A 20,133-nucleotide genomic window follows, 5' to 3' on the forward strand; every position below is an offset into this window, starting at 1 on the left:
AAAGAAACCACGACTCCTTAGAGAAATGGCTGGTTCCCCTGCTGGGGCAAGCAAAGAATAAGATGAGCCTAGAGTCCAGGCACGGTGGCTCACACCTGTAATCCTAGCACTTTGGGAGGCTGAGAGGGGTAGATCACCTGAGGTCAGGAGTTCGAGACCAGCCTGACCAACGTGGAGAAACCCGTTTCTACTAAAAATACAAAATCAGCCAGGCATGGTGGCACACGCCTGTAATCCCAGATACTTGGGTGGCTGAGGCAGGAGAACTGCTTGAATCCAAGAGGCAGAGGTTGCAGTGAGGTGAGATCATACCATTGCACTCCAGCCTGGGCAACAAGAGTGAAACTCTGCCTCAAAAAAAAAAAAAAAAAAAAAGACCCTAGAACATAGGCTAGAAAGTAAGGAAGTACTTAAAGAATGATAGCACAGAGAAACAAGCTCCTCTCAGCCAGATGAGTGGCAATATGAGTATCAAAATAATTTAATTTTAATTTTTTTTTTTTTGAGACGGAGTCTCACTCTTGTCGCCCACACTGGAGTGCAGTGGTATGATCTCAGCTCACTTCAACCTCCACCTCCCAGGCTCAAGCTATTCTCCTACCTCAGCCTCCTGAGTAGCTGGGATTACAGGCACCTGCCATGACGCCCAGCTAATTTTTGTACTTTTAGTAGAATGAGAGTAATGAAATATAGGCCACTGAACAAGACACAGTAAACTATGAGTTAATAGTAGAACAGCTCAAAATCTGGACCACCAGATGGGAAGCGCTAGAACACAGCGATTCTGTGACGCTGCTGCCAAAAATGCAGAACCAGATTCTAATTGTGGAAAAATTATCAGGCAAACCAAAATTGAGGAATCTTCTAGAAAACAATAGCCTGCCATCCTCAAAAGTGTTAAGGAAAATCATGGCTGTCAAGGAAAAACTGAGGAACTGATCTCAACTGAAGGAAACCACTAAATGTGATGCATGATTCTGAACTAGATCCTTTTGCTTACAAAGGACATTCCAGGAACAAGGGGAGAAATCTGACTGGGGTCTGAGGACTAGAGGGTGGCAATGTGTCCGTGTTAATTTCCGGATATCAACGGCTATCTTGAGATTACACAGGAGAATGTTCCTGGTTGTGGGAAGCACACACTGAGAATTCCAGGGTAGCAGAACATCAATATGTCACTACACTCAAGTGGTTCCAGAAGGGGGTTGTTGGAAAAGAAATCTCTTTTGCATTATATTCTTATCTTTCTGTGACTGTTTAAAATTTGTATATTATCTAAAGAATAAAACATTTGCAAAAAAAGGTAGGCTGGTCCACAGATCATTTCTGGAAGGGTGCAGGAGAGATGGAGGAGGCTCAGGAAGGAAGACTCTCCTATCAGCTCTGCAGGGACACTGTGGCACAGAGAGGGTCATACCTGGCGGAACCCAGGACCAGGTGCGTGAGGATCAGTAGCCTCCCTGCCGCCCTGGCAAGGGTGAGCTTCCTCGAGCTCCTGTTCCCATATCCGCCTGTCACTCAGGGCAAAGGGCCTTTGCCAGGGAAACTGGGAAACGTCTGCTGCATTTGGAAGATTTTTTAAGATAAGATGAAAAAGTTGGCAAATTTCTCACACTGCTTCTTTCATTATTATTTTAGGCTGCAAAGAGGTTTGTGATGTGCTACAGTTGATCAACTTTCATGTTTTTAAAACTTTTTACTTGGAAATGTTTTATGGTAGGTACATAATCCCCATGTACTCACGATATAGCTTCAACTATTCAATCCTAGTTTGCTATACTCCCCCAACACTGGCTTATTTATTTTGAAGAAAATAAGCATCCTATTCTATCATCCATTAATACCTCAACACTTATTTCTAAAAGAGAAGGACCTTTTACTTAAACATCATCCCACCCACCACCCAAAAATCCTTACCACCACCAATTAACCATTCCCTGTTTAAATGTCCCTGATTCTGTCTGCCTCTCTCTCCTTCTCTCACAGTTGTTGTGTTCAAATCAGGATCCATACAAGACCCAACATTGCACTTGGTTGATTTGATTCTTCCACAGATTCCTTCTATTTCTTTTCCTTTTGCAATGTTTTTCACAGTTTTCCTTTTCCAGTTCAACATCTTTGCAGTTTAAGATGCTCCTCTCTCCCCCTTTTTACTGACTCCCCATGTCTCCTCCCTGATCATTTTTTTAGAAAATTTCTTATTAACAAATCTTCCATGAGCCCAGAATACGGGCACTTTATGTTCAGGCTCCGGCAGGGAGCTCAGAGGAGGAGGTAGAGAGCTCTGCTAATCCCAGCACGAACTTCACAGAAAACAAAAGTGCAAGTAAATTCCACAGAAACACCCAGACGGTCATTGCTCTACCATTAGCCAAGATTTGGGTGCACCACTGTCCCCTTAGCTTCCTCATCTTTAAATTAAAGGCATTGAAAAAGATCATGATAATGACAGCAATGACAACGACATTAACAGGACATTTAATATTTGTCCAAAGGTCCCTCAAGATTCCTTCCAGTCAAGACTTTCTCTGTGATTTTAACCATCAAACACACTTCAATATATTAGTGAAGAGCAACATTCTGGTTAGGGGGGAGATATTTCATAAATGACAAATGAAAAGTAAGACAATGATAACAAAGGAACGGAGACCACAAATGTAGATGACAAAAGAAAACTACGGTCATTGTCATATCTAAATTTGAATAACATGCTATGTTTCAAAGCACTTTCTTATACATTAGCAAATCTCAGCCACACTAATAGGTAAATGATAAAGAATGGTATAAAAGGTTAATAATGGTGGAACCTTGGGTATGCAGGTGTTTCACTAAGCCAGTGGATCTCAACCAGGGTAATCTTGTGTCCCCCCACCTCCTGCCTCCAGGGGTCATTTAGCAATGTCTGGGGACATTTTGGTTGTCCCAGCTAGGAAGGTGTCCTGACCTCTACTGGGCAGAGGCCAAGGCTGCACTGAAATATCCTTCGATACTTGGCACAGACTGCACCACAAAGTATCCAGCCCACAATGTCAGTAGTTCAGAAACTGAGAGATCCTGAGATAGGCAAGTCCCCTTGTTACCCAACTAAAACTGTACTAGACCAGGGGACTAGGGAGGCTACTGAGGCCTGAAGGCACAGGAAGTCAGACACCTTGTATTACAACCCTCCACACTGTGGGCTACCCTAACACATGAGGTTCGATAAAACAATCGGCCGGGTGCGGGGGCTCACGCCTGTAATCCCAACACTTTGGGAGGCCAAGGTGGGTAGATCACCTAAGGTCAGGAGTTCAAGACCAGCCTAGCCAACATAGTGAAATCCGTCCCTACTAAAAATACAAAAATTAGCTGGGCATAGGGGGCGGGCGCCTGTAATCCCAGCTACTCAGGAGGCTGTGGCAGGAGAATCGCTTGAACCCGGGAGACGGAGGTTGCAGTGAGCCAAGATCACACCATTGCACTCCAGCCTGGGCAACAAGAGCGAAACTCCATCTCAAAAAAAAAAGAAAAAGAAAAAGAAAAAAGAAAACTGTCCTGGTTTGGTTTTGTTACCGAGATAGATCACAATATATATTTCTAAGTCTGAACTATTCCCTCAATGTATTCTTCTTGGGAAACTGTACTTACCAGACACTGTCCAACTGAAGAATTTACCTGCTTAGCAGACCTGTCTCTGAATGACAGCACCTGCGCTGATTTAGACAATGGGCACCTGCATCCTTGGGAACCCTTTACTCTAATGGGAGCGACTGACAATGAATACGTCCATGAGAAAGAGTCAGGTGGCCATGAGTGCCATGACGAGAACAGAGCCGGAACAGGAAGGGGAGGGGAGGGAGGGGTCTGGGGAGAGGGCTGCTACTTCAGCTTAGGTTCTCAGGGAAGCCTGTCCGGGGAGGCGATATTTGAGCCAAGACCTGAAGGAAGTGAATGGCTAGCCAGGCAGAGCTTGGAAGGAGAGTATTGGGGGCATGCAGTGGGAAGGCCTGTAGCAGGGGCACGCTGCGTGTATTCTAGTCCCAGAAGAAAGGCCTCTGAAGTGCCCTAAATGAGGAGGACAGGAGGTGAGAGAGAGGCGGGGCCAAATCCCTTGAGGCCTCCTAGTCCCAGCAGAAAGTCTAGCTTTCAAACAAACTATAATGGGAAGCCATTGGAAGTTCAACCGGAGGAGTAAGGAGACTTGATTGCTATTGATTGATTGATTGATTGACTGAGACAGGGTCTTGTTCTGTCACCCAGGCTGACTGCAGATCAAAGCTCACTGTGGCCTCAACCTCCCAGGCTCACACGATCCTCCCACCTCAGCCTCCTGAGTAACTAGGACTACAGGCACGTGCCACCATGCCCAGTTAATTTTTTTTATTTTTTCATAGAGATTGTCTGGCTATGTTGCCCAGGCTGGTCTTGAACTTCTGGATGCAAACTATTCAGATCCCTCTAGCTATTCTGTGGAGAATGGACATTATGCAGGCAAGAAGGAAGAAGAAAACCAACTGAGAGGCAACTGCATTAAGAATTTTACTGAAAATCAAAACCACCCAAAAAGAGAAATATCTGCCATTGATAAAGATATTCCAAAGAAGAATTCACTCCTAAAAGCTATTTCAAAAGAAGAGAAAAGGCCCCAGATGTTTAATTATTAGTGGTCTCTTTCCAGTAAGGGTGCTGGGCAGTGTTGCCTCCCCACCCTAGATGGCGTCCGCAACCAGAAACTCTGGTGTGAAGCTATTAATAACTTTCTCCAACAGGCTGGGACTCTGGGATTTTACCATCAGGGGGTGGTGAAGAGCACCCACCACCTGGGAGAAGCCTGGCCAGAGGGAGCAATGCACAAGGAACTTTTGGACCAGAGTAAGAGTGAATATAAGCTCAGATCTGCGTGGTATACTCTCTCTCATATTTTATTTGTGTTCTTGAGTGTTCTGGTCTCCCAGTCTTCAAAGAGCCAACTGGAGCCGGATGGTGCATGGGAAAAACGGAGGCTGAGACTCTCAGCCTGAGGTTCCATTATCTTCCCCTCTTTTTCCTCAGGGTGCTTTTCCTCATACTTATTATTCCCAGCCAGCATGGCAACAAGGTCCATGGGGGACCCACACCCAGATTACAGTGTGGATCTAGAAAATGCACCAAGGAAGCTCCTCTGCAGGTTTTAAACAAGCCCCAGGTCAGTCTAGCACGTGGTAGACTCCAACTCCCCAGGAAGTTAGCCTGAGACCTGAAGCTGAAGCCACTGCCCATTTTAAGGAGTTTGTCCTCTCCTCCCTGACAAACCCCAGGCAGTAGTGGGTGGGTGGTCAAGCATCAGAGGATGATCCCCTGTCCCTGCCTTTCTTCTACCATCTCCTTCGACCACACACACATAAAGGCAGGTAGCAAAACCCCACAATCTGTGCACCACTCCGGAAGTGCCACTGTTCAAGGTTGGGCGTGGTGGCTCACACCTGTAATCCCAGCACTTTGCGAAGCTGAGGCGGGTGGATCACTTGAGGTCAGGAGTTCGAGATCAGCCTGGCCAACATAGTGAAACCCCATCTCTACTAAAAATACAAAAATTAGCCAGGTGTGGTGGTGGGCACCTGTAATCCCAGCTACTCGAGAGGCTGAGGCCACAGAATCACTTGAACTGAGAGGCAGAGGTTGCAGTGAGCCAAGACGGTGCCACTGCATTCCTGCCTGGGCAACAGAGCGAGACTCTGTCTCAAAAACAAAAATGAAAAAGGAAGTGCTACTGTTGAAGAACAAGTATAGACATCCCCGCATCCTAAGAGGTCCTTCATCCACCCAAACTTAAGCTTCACACTTCAAAGACTGTTAATTACACATTATGACACCAATTATATCTGAATGCATTATAAAACAGAATCTTTGGTAAGCTATTTTACTGTTTTAATTCTTTTCTTCCACCATTTTTAATAATTAAACTCCTGTTTTTATATTAAGATGCAATTAAAAAAGAAAAGTCCTTTAAATTTTCAATCTATTTCATTTTTTTTACATAAAGAATTCAATAGCCATCCATTATAATGTAGCACACAATATAGCCAAAGGAAAAATGAATAACTTAGATAAAACAAGATGAATTCCATTTAGGGGGAAAAAATACAAGTCTACGTATTTTGAAAGCCCTTAGCATGAAATAGTCAATTAAAATATGGGGAACTCCCGACCAAACACAGATAAAACAAACCACATGGTAGCATACTCCTATGAAAGAGAAAGCTTTACTCTGTAAAAGAAGAGGGCACAGCGAATCGGGTCTCAAAATGCTGAATTTGAGGCCAGGTGCAGTGGCTCATACCTGTAATCCCAGCACTTTGCGAGGCCGAGGCGGGCAGATCACTGGAGGTCAGGAGTTCGAAATCAGCCTGGTCAACATGGTGTAACCCCGTCTCTACTAAAAATGCAAAAAATTAGCTGGGCGTGATGTGCATGTCTGTAATCCCAGCTACTCAGGAGGCTGAGGCAAAAGAATTGTTTGAACCCGGGAGGCGGAGGTTGGAGTAAACTGAGATCACGCCACTGTACTGCAGCCTGGGCAACAGAGAGAGGCCCTCTCTCAAAAAAATAAAAATTTAAAAAATTTAAAATGCTGAATTTGGGGACTGCCAGCATTCAATTATCGATGAAGTAAAAGGACACCATTATTTAGTGTGAGCCTACCCATGCTGAATTACATTTCAAATATAAGGATAATGTCTCACATGTACAAGAGTAAACAAGGAAAATTAAATAATTTTGATCCTTTTGTGTGTGTGTGAGAGACCTGATCTTGCTCTATTGCCCAAGCTGGAGTGCAGTAGTGTGATCATGGCTCACTGCAGCCTCAACTTCCCAGACTCAGGTGATTTTCCCACCTCAGCCTCCCGGCCAGCTGGGACCACAGGCATGCGCTACTATGCCTGGCTAATTTTTCTATATTTTTGTAGAGACGGGGTCTCTCCGTGTTGCCCAGGCTGGTCTCGAACTCCTGGGCTCAAGCGATCCTCCCGCCTCAGCCTCCCAAAGTGCCGGGATTACAGGCATGGGCCACCATGTGCAGCCAGTTTTGATACTTTAAAGCCACAGTTTGTGAGCTACAAACTTCACATTCACATGTACTAAGACTGAACAATGTGTCGGGGACGAGAAGTATTCCTGTGTGATCCATCTACTACAGCCTTATTCATCCTTTGTTTCTCTTCTAACCCAAAGATCAGCAAACTTTTTTTTAAAATAAAGGGCCAAATAGTAACGATCTCAGGCTTTATAGGCCATATTTCACAACTACTCAACTCTGCTGTTGTAACAAGAAAGCGCAGCTATAAATAACAGGTACACAAAGGAGTATGGCTGTGTTCCAAATAAAACTTTATTTACAAAAACAGGCCCATGGGCTGTGATTTGCTGACCCCTGTTCTAGTTCTCAGGGTGCTAGAAAGGAGGAGTGAAGCAGAGATACACTTAAGACACTCCTGAAAGAACACAGTAGGAATAAGCAAAGAGATCCAGTTGATCCTAATGTATCCACCAGGCATAGCCGATTACACCCAGGAGTATTCTTGTAAGACAAAAACCAAGTCGAGAGATATTAGGTTGGTGCAAAAGTAACTGTGGTTTTTGCCCCTGAAAGTAATGGAAAAACTGCAATTACTTCTGCACCAATCTAATACCAGGGAGGCATCATTTCTCAACAACCACAACTCTCAAGACACGAGGGCCTCTCCCTCACAGAAGCAGCAACATTCCATCATGGGGTTTGTCCCCTGAACTGCATATCCACTGGAGATTCTATAGTGACCTCTCCGAACTGCCTACCTAACCCCACTTTTTTGTTTTTTTTTTTTGTTTTTTTTTTTGAGACCAAGTCTCACTCTATTGACCAGGCTGGAGGGCAGTGATGCAATCTTCGCTCACTGCAACCTCCGCCTCCCAGGTTCAAGCCATTCTCCTGCCTCAGCCTCCCAAGTAGCTGGGATTACAGGCACCTGCCACCATGCCCAACTAATTTTTGTATTTGGAGTAGAGATAGGGTTTCACCATGTTGGCCAGGCTGGTCTCCAACTCCTGACGTCAGGTGATCCACCCACCTCGGCCTCCCAAAGTGCTGGGATTACAGGGGCATGAGCCACCGCGCCCAGCCAGCCTGCCTCTTCTTATGTCTAGCAGCACACCAGGGCTGGGGACGCAGGCTGTGGTCACCAATTCAAAAGAGGTAACTGCTCTACCAGGGAGTGACCTTACCCAGGAACTAATCAACAACTCGATGAGAGCTCAAGACATAAGCCTTTCGACTCCAGCTTTGAACTCTTACCTGCCGAAGGGCCGAGAAGAGCCCACTGAGCCCAGAGCAGCCGTGATCAACCACTGTCACTTCACAAACCCCAAATACATGGGTTCTTCCTTCTCGTGGACACATCTTCCTCTCACACTTCACACTCCGCCCGGAGCAAACCCTGTCAATTCAACCCTCAAAGGGTTCCAGAATCTGCTGCATCTCCATCGCCAGCAGCCCATTGCCAGTACCAGCTACATCGCCAGCACCCTCATCACTGTCACCTCCTAATTGGTCTCCCTGACTTTGCTCTTGCCTCACTTCCAACAGAATATTGTCATGTTAAAAAAGAAGTAAGAGGCCGGGTGCAGTGGCTCATGCCTGTAATCCCAGCACTTTGGGAGGCCGAGGCAGACGGATCACCTGAGGTAAGGAGTTCGAGACCAGCCTGGCCAACATGACGAGACCTCATCTCTACTAAAAATACAAAAATCAGCCAGGCATTGTGGCGGGCACCTGTAATCCCAGCTACTCAGGAGGCCGAGGCAGGGGAATGGCTTAAACCCAGGAGGCGGAGGTTGCAGTGAGCCAAGATAGCGCCATTGCACTCCAGCAACAGACTAAGGCTCCGTCTCCAAAAAAAAAAAAAAGAATAGGGGGTGAAAATCAACAAACAGCAGGCACAGATTTGGGGCTAGATAATAGACAAATAAGTGAAAAAGCAAATTTATTCACATACCCTTGATGCCCCTAGAAAGTCCTTCAAAGCACATGACAGGGCGTATATGAAAGTGTAAACTGCTCACCATATGACCGTCAGGCTTCTGAAGCTGTTTACATCTGGAATGCGACCATCAACCTGGAAGGTAAGAAAAACAAACAAACAAAAAAACTTCTGAGTGACAAACAGCTTCCACAAAGCCCATCCATTTTATTCCACAGAAGAAAAAGAAGTGCGTCATTTATAAAACTCTACCAGAGGAGGCAACAGCCATCGCTAATAACAGAGGAAAGAAACAAAGGCCGTAAAATTAGAAGCAGAGGAGCAGAACCATCCAGGACCTTGAAATAAAGATGGAGTCCACACAGAGTCAACCCCGGCACATCACCCTAACAGCCTTCTACAGTAACAATATTCCTAGGTCGGCAACACAGGCTCAACCAGGCTCAGAATCCTGTTCAAGGACACAAGATGAGTAATACGTTTTTATTCTATTTTTATTTTTATTTTCTTAAGATGGTTAAAATTGCACCAGGCGCAGTGGTTCACACCCTAATCCCAGCATCTTGAGAGGCTGAGGCTGGCAGATCACTTGACCCCAGGAGTTCAAGACCAGTCTCGGCAACACGGCAAAACGCTGTCTCTACAAAAAATAAAAATACAGGCCGGGTGCGGTGGCTCACGCCTGTAATCCTAGCACTTTGGAAGGCCGAGGTGGGTGGATCACTCGAGGTCAGAAGTTCAAGACCAGCCTGGCCAACATGGTGAAACCCTGTCTCTACTAAAGATACAAAAATTAGCCAGGCGTGGGGGCATGCACCTGTAATCCCAACTACTTGGGTGGCTGAGGCAGGAGACTCCCTTGAACTCGGGAGGCGGAGATTGCAGTGAGCCAAGATCGAGTCACTGCACTCCAGCCTGGGTGATAGAGCAAGCTTCCGTCTCGGGAAAAAAAAAAAAAAAAAAGCCAGATGCGGTGGCTCACACCTGTAATCCCAGCACTTTGAGAGGCTGAGACACGAGAATTGATTGAACCCAGGAGGCGGAGGTTGCAATAAGCTGAGATGGCACCGCCGCACTCCAGCTTGGGGGACAGAGTGAGACTCTGCCTAAAAAAATAAAAATAAATTTAAAAATAAAAATGAAAAATATCAGCCTGGTGCAGTGGTATGCAACTGTAGTCCCAGCGACTAGGAAGGCTGCGGTGAGAGGATTCCCTCAACCTGGGAGGTCAAGGCTGCAGTGAACGGTGATTGCGTGATTGCACCACAGCACTCCAGCCTGGGCGACAGAGCAAGAACCTGTCTCAAAAAAAAATTTTTCTTTTCAAAGCTAATATATTCTTATTTTATTTTATTATTTTTATTTATTTATTTATTTTTAGTGCAGAGTGCAGTGGCAAGATCTGTAGTCTTGAACTCCAAAGCTCAAACGATCCTCCCACCGCAGCCTCCCAAGTAGCTGGGACTACAGGCATGTGCCACTATGCTTGGTTAAAAGCTAATATATTCTCTTAATAAGGGAGGGAACAGCTTTCAAAGAAAGACAGAATTAAGATGAATGAGTAAAAGCTGAGGCAGATTTCAGCCCTTGCTTGAGACCAAGGCAGGGCTTCTTAACAAGGAGAACCAGCCTATAAGGGCAGTGACTGGGCCCCTGGCAGTGAGTAGTGATCTTCTTTTTTTTTTTTTGAGACGGAGTCTCGCCCTGTTACCCAGGCTGGAGTGCAGTGGTGCGATCTTGGCTCACTGCAAGCCCCGCCTCCCGGGTTCACGCCATTCTCCTGCCTCAGCCTCCGGAGTAGCTGGGACTACAGGCGCCCGCCACCATGCCCAGCGAATTTTTTGTATTTTTAGTAGAGACGGGGTTTCACCGTGTTAGCCTGGATGGTCTCAATCTCCTGACCTCATGATCCGCCCTCCTTGGCCTCCCAAAAGTGCTGGGTTTACCGGCGTGAGCCACCGCACCTGGCTAATTTTTTTGTATTTTTAGTAGAGACGGGGTTTCACCGTGTTGGCCTGGCTGGACTCGATCTCCTGACCTTGTGATCCGCCCGCCTCGGCCTCCCAAAGTGCTGGGATTACAGGCGTGAGCCACGGCGCCCGGCCTTCTTACAGGTCTTGATATTCAGGCGAGGTTGAACTAGAGGTCCTTGAGGATCCCAATCAATTCCAAGGTTTTATGATGGGTCATGTCAAAGCAAAAAATTATTCTGACATTTTTTACAAATGGTAAGGCAGACTTTATTTAGGATTACAACAACAGGTGTCAAGGTCATTGCAATAGGGAGAAAGATTGGGCTCAACTCCAAATACAGCAAAGACGTCTGGAGATCAGTAGCCAATGAGCCGGGGAGGCGTCTGTGGAGGGGAAATTACTAAGAAGAGATATTAAAGTCAGGGGGATTCTTGCTAAATCAACTTAACAGGATTCCTGCTGAAGGCAGGTTGACTTAGACAACAAGGATAGGGACAAGGAACTTGATCAGGTGTGATCAGATATCCAGAATAAAGGATATCTCTCTAAACTCATCTAGCAGCTCTCTAACTTTAGCAGGATTCTTGCTAAAACTAACTGGGAAGGCCTGGAAGGTGGGGGTGGGCTAACGGCCTAGCTGAGAAGGGGGCTCAGAGAAGCCGGATTCAAGTTTGGTCAAGGAGCAAGTCTTCATCAGTAATAGTAACTCCAGGGAACAGAGGTCCTGATACCTCGAGGTGGTGCCCAAGGCAACAGGGAAGTACTAGCCAGAGCAAAGAGCAGAATCCAGACGTCCTGGCCCGAAGCTCAGTGGGGTGAGTTGTAGCTGGTGCCCAGTAATACCTGACACCACATAACACCTTCTAGTTTCTCCATTTCTTCCCGCGTATAATTGCGCTTTTTTGCAAAATCTAGAAATGGCCGTTTCTAAACATCAAGCTACCGTACAATAAGGGGAAACTACCTTTGCACATAATGCCATGTGAGCAATTTATATACAATTCCCTGTGATATTGAGGCAGATTGATTCATCATCATGAAGACAATGAGGCTTTTCAAAGTGGCCTTGTAATGACAGGCATATAAATAAAATAGGCCAAAAAAAAAAAAAAACTGAAACTAAAAGACTGGATTTAAAAGCCTCTGGCAAAAACCAGGAAGCTTGCGATCACTAACAGAATTACTAAACTACCCTAGCAAAGTTAAACAAAGTTCCATAATCCCCAAATCCAAAGGAGAGCATTTAAAGCTGACCCCAGCCTGGTCAACATAGCAAGACCCCATCTCCATAAAAACTTCTTTTAAAGATTAAGTGGGCGTGGTGGCACATGCCTGTTGCCCTGGCTACTTCAGAGGCTGAGGCAAGAGGATCATTTGAGTCCGGGAGTTCCAGGCTGCAATGAACTACGTTCACAACACTGCACTCCAGCCTGAGTGGCAGAGTGAGAGTCCCTGTTTCTTAAAAAATAAAAATAAGGCCGGGCGCAGTGGCTCACACCTGTAATCCCGGCACTCTGGGAGGCCGAGGTGGGCAGGTAATGAGGAGTTCGAGACCAGCCTAGCCAATATGGTGAAACCCCGTGTCTACTAAAAATACAAAAATTAGCTGGGCGTGGCGACACATGCCTATAATCCCAGCTACTTGGGAGGCTGAGGCAGAAGAATCCTTTGAACCCAGGAGGCAGAGGTTGCAGTGAGCCAAGATTGGGCCACTGCACTCCAGCTTGGGCAACAAAGTGAGGCTCCATCTCAAAAAAAAAAAGAATAAATAAATAAAAATAAAATAAATAAATAAATAAAATTAGCCAGGCATGGTGGCATGCCTGTAGTCCCAGCTACTTGAGACACTGATGTGGGAGGATTGCTCGAGTCCAGGGTTCAAGGTTACAGAATATCCGTTTCTAAAATAATAATAAAAGTAAAAACAGGCCAGGTGCGGCAGCTCATGCCTGTAATCCTAGCACTTTAGGAGGCCAAGGCAGGTGGGGGGATCACGAGGTCAGGAGTTTGAGACCAGCCTGGCCAACATGGTGAAACCCTGTCTATGCTAAAAATATGAAAATTAGCTGGACGTGGTGGTGGGCACCTGTAATCCCAGCTACTCAGGAGACTGAGGCAGGAGAATTGCTTGAACCTGGGAGGTGGAGGTTGCAGTGAGCCAGGATCATCACACCATTGCACTCCACCCTGGGCGACAAGAGCGAAACTCTTAAAAAAAAAAAAAAAGTAGAAATAAATAAAACGACACAGCTGCCTTTCTTGATCTCAAAAGTGCGATCTACTTGCTGGGCAGAGGTTATTTAAGAATCCAGAAGGGTTGGTCACACACAGTGGCTCACGCATGTAATCCCAGTACTTTGGGAGGCCAAGGCAGGCGGATCACTGGAGGTGAGGAGTTCAAGACTAGCCTAGCCAACATGGTGAAACCCTGACTCTACTGAAAAAATAGAAAAAAAAAATTAGCCGGGTGTGGTGGTGCATGCCTGTAATCCCAGCTACTTGGGAGGCTGAGGCAGGAGAATCGCTTGAGCCCGCAAGGTGGAGGTTTCAGTGAGCGAAGATCACACCACTGCACTCCAGCCTGGACAACAAAGTGAGACTACCTCTCAAAAAAAAAAAAGACCGGGCACGGTGACTCAGGGCTGTAATCCCAGCACTTTGGGAGACCAAAGCGGGCGGATCACGAGGTCAGGAGGTGGAGACCATCCTAGCTAACACGGTGAAACCCGTCTCTACTAAAAATACAAAAAAATTAGCCAGGCGTGGTGTCGGGTGCCTGTTGTCCCAGTGACTTGGGAGGCTGAGGCAGGAGAATGGCGTGAACCCGGGAGGCGGAACTTGCAGTGAGCCGAGATGGTGCCACTGCACTCCAGCCTGGGTGACAGAGCGAGACTCCATCTCAAAAAAAACGAACCTAGAAGGGCGACGTGCTAAATACTCTCAGATTGCCCTTCAGATGACTTTTCCTCTTTTTCCTCTGGGATCTGTGCCTGGGAGGCTGCCCTTCCACACTTTCTGGCCCTGGGGAGGCACCACGGGCAGGGATGACTGTCGGAAGAGGGTCAAGACAGTAGGAACACTGACCCCCTGCTTCCTCCCCACAGCAGCACCTGGAGGTCTCTCGATCACAAGTCCCTTTTTCTCTCAGGCTTCAGTTCTAGGGAACAAAGGGGCTTCCTCCTGCTGCCCCAGTGGAACCAATCCCTTTTTTTTTTTTTTTTTTTTTGAGACAGGGTCTCATTCTGTCACCCAGGCTGGAGTACAGTGGCACGATCATAGTTCACTGCAGCCTTGAACTCCCGTGCTGAGCTTACATGATCTTGCCCCTCAGCCTCCCAAGTAGCTGGGACTACAGGCACACGCCACCACACCATACCTGGCTAATCTGGGAAGCAGCAGGGGGGTTGGTAGAGAAAGGGTCTCATTATGTTGCCCAGGCTGGTCTCAAACTCCAGGGCTCAAGCAATCCTCCTGCCTCAGCCTCCCAAAGTGCTGAGATTAGAGGTGTGAGCCACTGCACCCAGCCTGTCTGCTTTTCTTAACTCCGTGAAAACACTTTCTCTCGTGACTCTCTTCTGTCACCTGTGAGTGTGCGATATACTTTCCTGCCAAGCCTCTGACTGACAACAGTAGAAGAAGAAGAGGGGCAGAGAATTTAACATTCAATTTTCTGGCCAGGCACGGTGGCTCACGCCTGTAATCCCAGCACTTTGGGAGGCCAAGGCAGGCAGATCACGAGGTCAGGAGATGGAGACCATCCTGGCTAACACGGTGAAACCCCATTTCTACTAAAAAAAGTACAAAAAAATTAGCCGGGTGTGGTGGCGGGCGCCTGTAGTCCCAGCTACTCAGAAGGCTGAGGCAGAAGAATGGTGTGAACCCGGGAGGCAGAGCTTGCAGTGAGCCAAGATCGCGCCACTGCCCTCCAGCCTGGGTGACAGAGCGAGACTCCATCTCAAAAAACAAACAAACAAAAAAAAAATCAATTTTCTATCTTTGCCCTCAATGGAGAGGGAAGAAACAGAGAACCTGATTTTTAAGCTAGATTTCCAGGCATGGGTAGGGGCAGGTGTGGCGCACTGTCTGAGGAGGCTCCGAGTGTTACGAGTGTCAGTGAAAACCTTGAATTTTTTTTTTTTTTTTTTCTGAGACACAGTCTGGCTCTGTCACCCAGGCTGGAGTGCAGTGGCGCGATCTCAGCTCACTGCAACCCCTGGCCCCCTAGGTTCAAGTGATTCTCCTGCCTCAGCCTCTCAAGTAGCTGGGACTACAGGTGTGTGCCACCACACCTGGCCAATTTTTATATTTTTGGTAGAGACAGGGTTTCACCATATTGGCCAGGCTGGGCTCAAACTCCTAACCTCAGGCGATCTGCCCACCTCAGCCTCCCATAGTGCTGGGATTACAGGTGTGAGCTCCCACGCCAGGCTGAAAACTTCAAATGTTATTTATTTATTTACTTATTTATATTTCCTTGAGACAGAGTTTCACTCTTGTTGCCCAGGCTGGAGTGCAGTGGCACGATCTCGGCTCACTGCAACTTCTACCTCCAGGGTTCAAGCGATGCTCCTGCCTCAGCCTCCCAAGTAGCTGAGATTACAGGCATATGCCACCAGGCCTGGCTAATTTTGTATTTTTAGTAGAGACAGGGTTTCACCATGTTGGTCAGGCTCGTCTCGAACTCTTGACCTCAGGTGATCCACCCGCCTCAGCCTCCCAAAGTGCTGGGATTACAGGTGTGAGCCACCACACCTGGCTAAAACCTCGAATTTTCTACACAAAATTGTGTGTATGTGTGCATTTTTCTGAAAAGAGAAATCCAGAAAGGAAAAGGTCAAAATGTTTCTATATCCTCAAAAGGTGACCAAAAATTTTAAGAGACAATGCTGCCGGGAAAACCATGTAGAAACAGCCACTGTCTCCCCAGGAGAAGAGAGAGGAACCGGCAGGTGGTGGGTACCCAGGTCAGCTCCATGAGCAGGAATGCCACCTCTTCCCTTGCCAAGGGGAGCTGGGCTGGAGGAAGGACCAGCACCACCCCTCCAGCCGCCACCCACCCCCGAGGGGGCAGCTGGGATGGTGCGTTCCTGCAAATCTCTCACAGCTCCCTCTCAACACTCAGTGACATTTGCAAAGCTCATCAGCCCAGCAGGTGTCGGATGCACAAGCAACAGCAAAAGCAGTTCCGGGGCTGGGGAAAATCTCATCGTGTTGTTCTGAAAACCTCCGGGCTGCTGAGAGTCTCCAGGCAGCAAACCAGGAGGGAAAAAATACTCAGGAGACAAGAGAACAGCAGAGCGGACCACACAGGAAATGCCCAGGTGGGCACAACGAAGCCCGGAGCTGTCTGCAGATTCCTGCCCCGGTGGGCATCGGTCAGCCCTTCCGGAGCCCAGATCCGCCCCTCAGGAGCTGTGTGGGGAGGATCAGCGGCCCCCTCCCACTAGGCTCGGTTCCCCCCTTTACCACACAGACACGATCATTCAGAATGAACCTCATAGGGCTGTTGTGGGGTCAAGGAGAAAATGTGCTTTGCATGTCACCAAGACCCAGTAAATGCCTTCAGATGTGTGTTGGGATTAGTATCAGAGCTCTTCTCTGTTTTCTTCCCTGCAGGGGTGATCACGGGTACAAACAAACAGCAGGTGACAAGGGAGGTTGATGGAATCAACTTCCCAGTTCCACAGGGCCCTTGCCCAAAGGGAGTGGCAAGGGCTAGGTAAGGTGGCTTATACCTGTAATCCCAGCACTTTGGGAGGCTGAGACGGGTGGATCACCTGAGGTCAGGAGTTAGAGACCAGCCTGACCAACATGGAGAAACCCTATCTCTACTAAAAATACAAAATTAGCCAGGCATGGTGGTGCGTGCCTGTAATCCCAGCTGCTCGGGAGGCTGAGGCAGGAGAATCACTTAAACCCAGGAGGCAGAGGTTGCAGTAAGCTGAGATTGCGCCATTGCATTCCAGCCTGGGCAACAAGAGCGAAACTCCATCTCAAATAATAATAATAATAATAATAATAATAATAAAGGGAGTGGCAAGCCAGCCAGGCAATGCCACCTGAGAGGGGCGGGAGCCTTGAGTCCACAGGGAGCCCTACAATGATCTCCATCTCCCATGCTGTGGTCCCTTTTCCAGCTGTGTCAGTGTCCTCAGCTCAGAGGCACAAGGCTGTTGTGGTTAAGAGCCTGGATGGGGAGCCTCGGTGGACACTTGGTCTTGCCATGAACTGACTGGACGGCCGTGTGCAAGTTATATCATCTCTCTGTGACTTAGTTTCCTCATCCATAAATCAGGATGATCATAATCATAGTACCTGTGTTTCTGTGAGGTTTAAATAAATTCAAACAAAGTTATCAGAATAGTGTCTGGGCCAGGCTCAATGTCTCACGCTTGTAATCCCAGCACTTTGGGAGGCTGAGGCGGGCAGATCACTTGAAGGCAGGAGTTTGAGACCGGCCTGGCCAACATGGCTAAACCCCATCTCTACTAAAAATACAAAAATCAACTGGGTGTGGTAGCACATGCCTGTAGTCCCAGCTACTCGGGAGGCTGAGAGAGGAGAATCGCTTAAACACAGGGGGCAGAGGTTTCAGTGAGCCGAGATCGTGCCACTGCACTCCAGCCTGAGCAACAAAGCAAGACTGTCTGAAAAAAAATAAATAAATAAAAATAGTGTCTGGTGTGCAGCAATAACTCAATAGATGCTGGCTGTCACATGCCCCGCATGTTTCAGTGAGTTTCCAAGGACCATTAACAAAGAGGCCTCTGTGCTCCAGATACTGGCACCACCAGCCCATGAGCCTACTACTACATGGCCTTGATCCTAAGATGGGTTCTGTAATTTAATGTTCCTAAACTTACAATAGACATGCACATTTCACATAGATTTTCTCATCTGTTAAATGGGGATAATAACAGCATCTAGCTAACAAGATTAGTGGAGGATTAAGGATTAATATAAGCAGAATGCTTTGAACAGAGCTTGGCATGGCGTACGCATCAGAAATTGTCCTCTGCAGGTATTTTCACCGTCATTACAGTAATTGATCTGATCTGCTGCAAGTCTTCGCACTCCAGTCAAATGTGGAAATTCTTCCTCACCCCTCACTCAATCCAGGCATCACCTGACCCTGGTACCAAAGATGCACGGTCTGGAGCTGGCAAGGGAATGGCCTCGGTAAACAGAAAGATGCTGTGGAGTTTCAGGCATTTTCTGGGGTTTTCCCACTCTGTTGTCTTCCCAGAATTAGTTACTTACAAAAAGAACATGGCAGCCAGGCACGGTGGCTCACGCCTGTAATCCCAGCACTTTGGGAGGCCAAGCGGGCAGATCACGAGGCCAGGAGATCGAGACCATCCTGGCTAACACGGTGAAACCCCATCTCTACTAAAAAATACAAAAAATTAGCTGGGCGTGGTGGCGGGTGCCTGTAGTCCCAGCTACTCGGGAGGCTGAGGCAGGAGAATAGCGTGAGCCTGGGAGGCAGAGCTTGCAGTGAGCCGTGATCGTGCCACTGCACTCTAGGCTGGGGGACAGATCAAGACTCCATCTCAAAAAAAAAAAAAAAAAAAAAAAAAAAAAAAAAAAAACATGGCTTAGAAGTTGCTGAGTTGCATATTAGATCCCAGGTTGATTTAAGGTTAATTTTGTTTTTTTTTGCTGTTGGAGTAATTTTCAGGTCACTATGTTGGCTTCTTGGTGGCCCCTGGAGCACAGCTGGCCTCCCGTCAGTCTGAGGGCCTCATGGAAAATAAACCTTTAGCAGGGGCACACAAGGAAAACAACCGGAAGTGGAGAGAAAAAGTAGCAGGAAAGGGGTCCCAGTACAGTCAAAGATCAGCGAGTGAGCCAGGGATTGAGACAATCACTAAATCAGTGGCCTCCACTGTCCGTAACAAAGTCTGAAATAAGTTCCATAAAATCACTATTTTCCCCTCCTCTGTCACCTTAGCTGGTGCCGCCCTGCACTGGAGACTTGCAGAATCATTAGTCTGTTCCTGCACTGCTATAAAAAAACACCAGAGACTGGGTAACTTACAAAGAAAAGAGGTTTATTTGGCGCACAGTTCTGCAGGCTGCACAAGAAGCATGGCACCAGCATCTGTTTCTGGTGAGGCCTCAAGAAGCTTCCACTCATGGCAGAGGCAAAGGGGGAGCAGACATGTCACAAGGCGAGAGAGAGCGCAAGAGAGAGAAGGAAGTGCCAAGCTCTTCAAACAATCAGCTCTCCCATGAACTAACAGAGTGAGAGCTCACTCATCACCATGGGGATGGCACCAAGCCGTCTGTGAGGGATCCACCCCCATGACCCAAACACCTCCTGCCAGGCCCCACCTCCAATACTGGAGATCACATTTCAACATGAGATTTGGAGGGAACAAGCATCCAAATCGTATTAGAGAATATTAAACCAATTAGGGTACAGTCAATGAAAGGCAGAATCCTAACAGCACAGACTCTGGGTCAGGACACCTGGATTCAAATCCTGGTTCCCTCAACATTTAGCCATGTGACCATGGTCCAGCCCCAGGCACTCTGTGCCTCAGTTTCCTCATCTGTAAGATGAGGATGGCAGCAGCTAACAGGCAAGTGAGGTGTAAATGAATTAATATATATGAAGCTCTTAGAAAAGTGGCAGACACACAACAAGCACTCACAAACCTTTAGTCTTTTTTTTTTTTTTTTGAGATGGAGTTTCACTCTTGTTGCCCAGGCTGAAGTGCAATGACGTGATCTCGGCTCACCGCAACCTCCGCCTCCCGGGTTCAAGCGATTCTCCTGCCTCAGCCTCCCGAGTAGCTGGGACTACAGGCATGCACCACCATGCCCGGCTAATTTTGTATTTTTAGTAGAGACGGGGTTTCCTCCATGTTGGTCAGGCTGGTCTCGAACTCCCGACCTCAGTTGATCCGCCTGCCTTGGCCTCTCAAAGTGCTGGGATTACAGGCCACCGCTCCCAGCCAACCTTTAGCCTTTATTATTCTTCAGTTCCTGCACCCTGGGAGCCCTACAGGGAAAACCTGTTTAGGGTAAGGAAGGGAACTTTTCCAGCTTCCTGCAGCCGGTGAAATGGGAAGATAATTGGAGACCCACAGAACAGGATTTGAATTGCAGCCGCTCCACATATAAGTTGCTGTGAGCTAGTTTTTTATTATTATTATTATTATTATTATTATTATTA

General features: G+C 47.3%; 1 protein-coding gene across 8 annotated transcripts in view, besides 1 other annotated feature; it reads right to left on the reverse strand.

The window, feature by feature from the left end:
• TIAM1 (TIAM Rac1 associated GEF 1) overlaps positions 1-20,133 on the reverse strand; it is a 440,670-nt gene that overhangs the window by 336,508 nt on the left and 84,029 nt on the right. For 3 of the 8 annotated variants that reach the window (NM_003253.3, NM_001353688.1, NM_001353693.1), the window contains exon 2: positions 9,058-9,110. The exons of 1 other annotated variant lie outside the window; for it this stretch is intronic. The gene's annotated coding sequence lies outside the window, so the exon portion shown is untranslated. Of the gene's footprint in view, positions 1-6,298; positions 6,395-8,990; positions 9,111-20,133 lie in introns of those variants that run through there. 4 more of the 8 variants (NM_001353692.1, NM_001353689.1, XM_047440969.1 and 1 more) reach the window with 2 other exon arrangements.
• Positions 15,675-16,638: an enhancer, noted in NCBI's record as "NANOG-H3K27ac-H3K4me1 hESC enhancer chr21:32842913-32843876 (GRCh37/hg19 assembly coordinates)". NCBI's record gives its function as "activates a minimal SCP1, AML or CMV promoter by ChIP-STARR-seq in naive H9 embryonic stem cells {active_cell/tissue: H9 hESC(naive)}" and the evidence as "EXISTENCE:reporter gene assay evidence [ECO:0000049][PMID:30033119]".

This window comes from Homo sapiens, chromosome 21 (genome assembly GCF_000001405.40).
Source record: "Homo sapiens chromosome 21, GRCh38.p14 Primary Assembly".
Taxonomy (NCBI): Eukaryota; Metazoa; Chordata; class Mammalia; order Primates; family Hominidae; genus Homo; species Homo sapiens.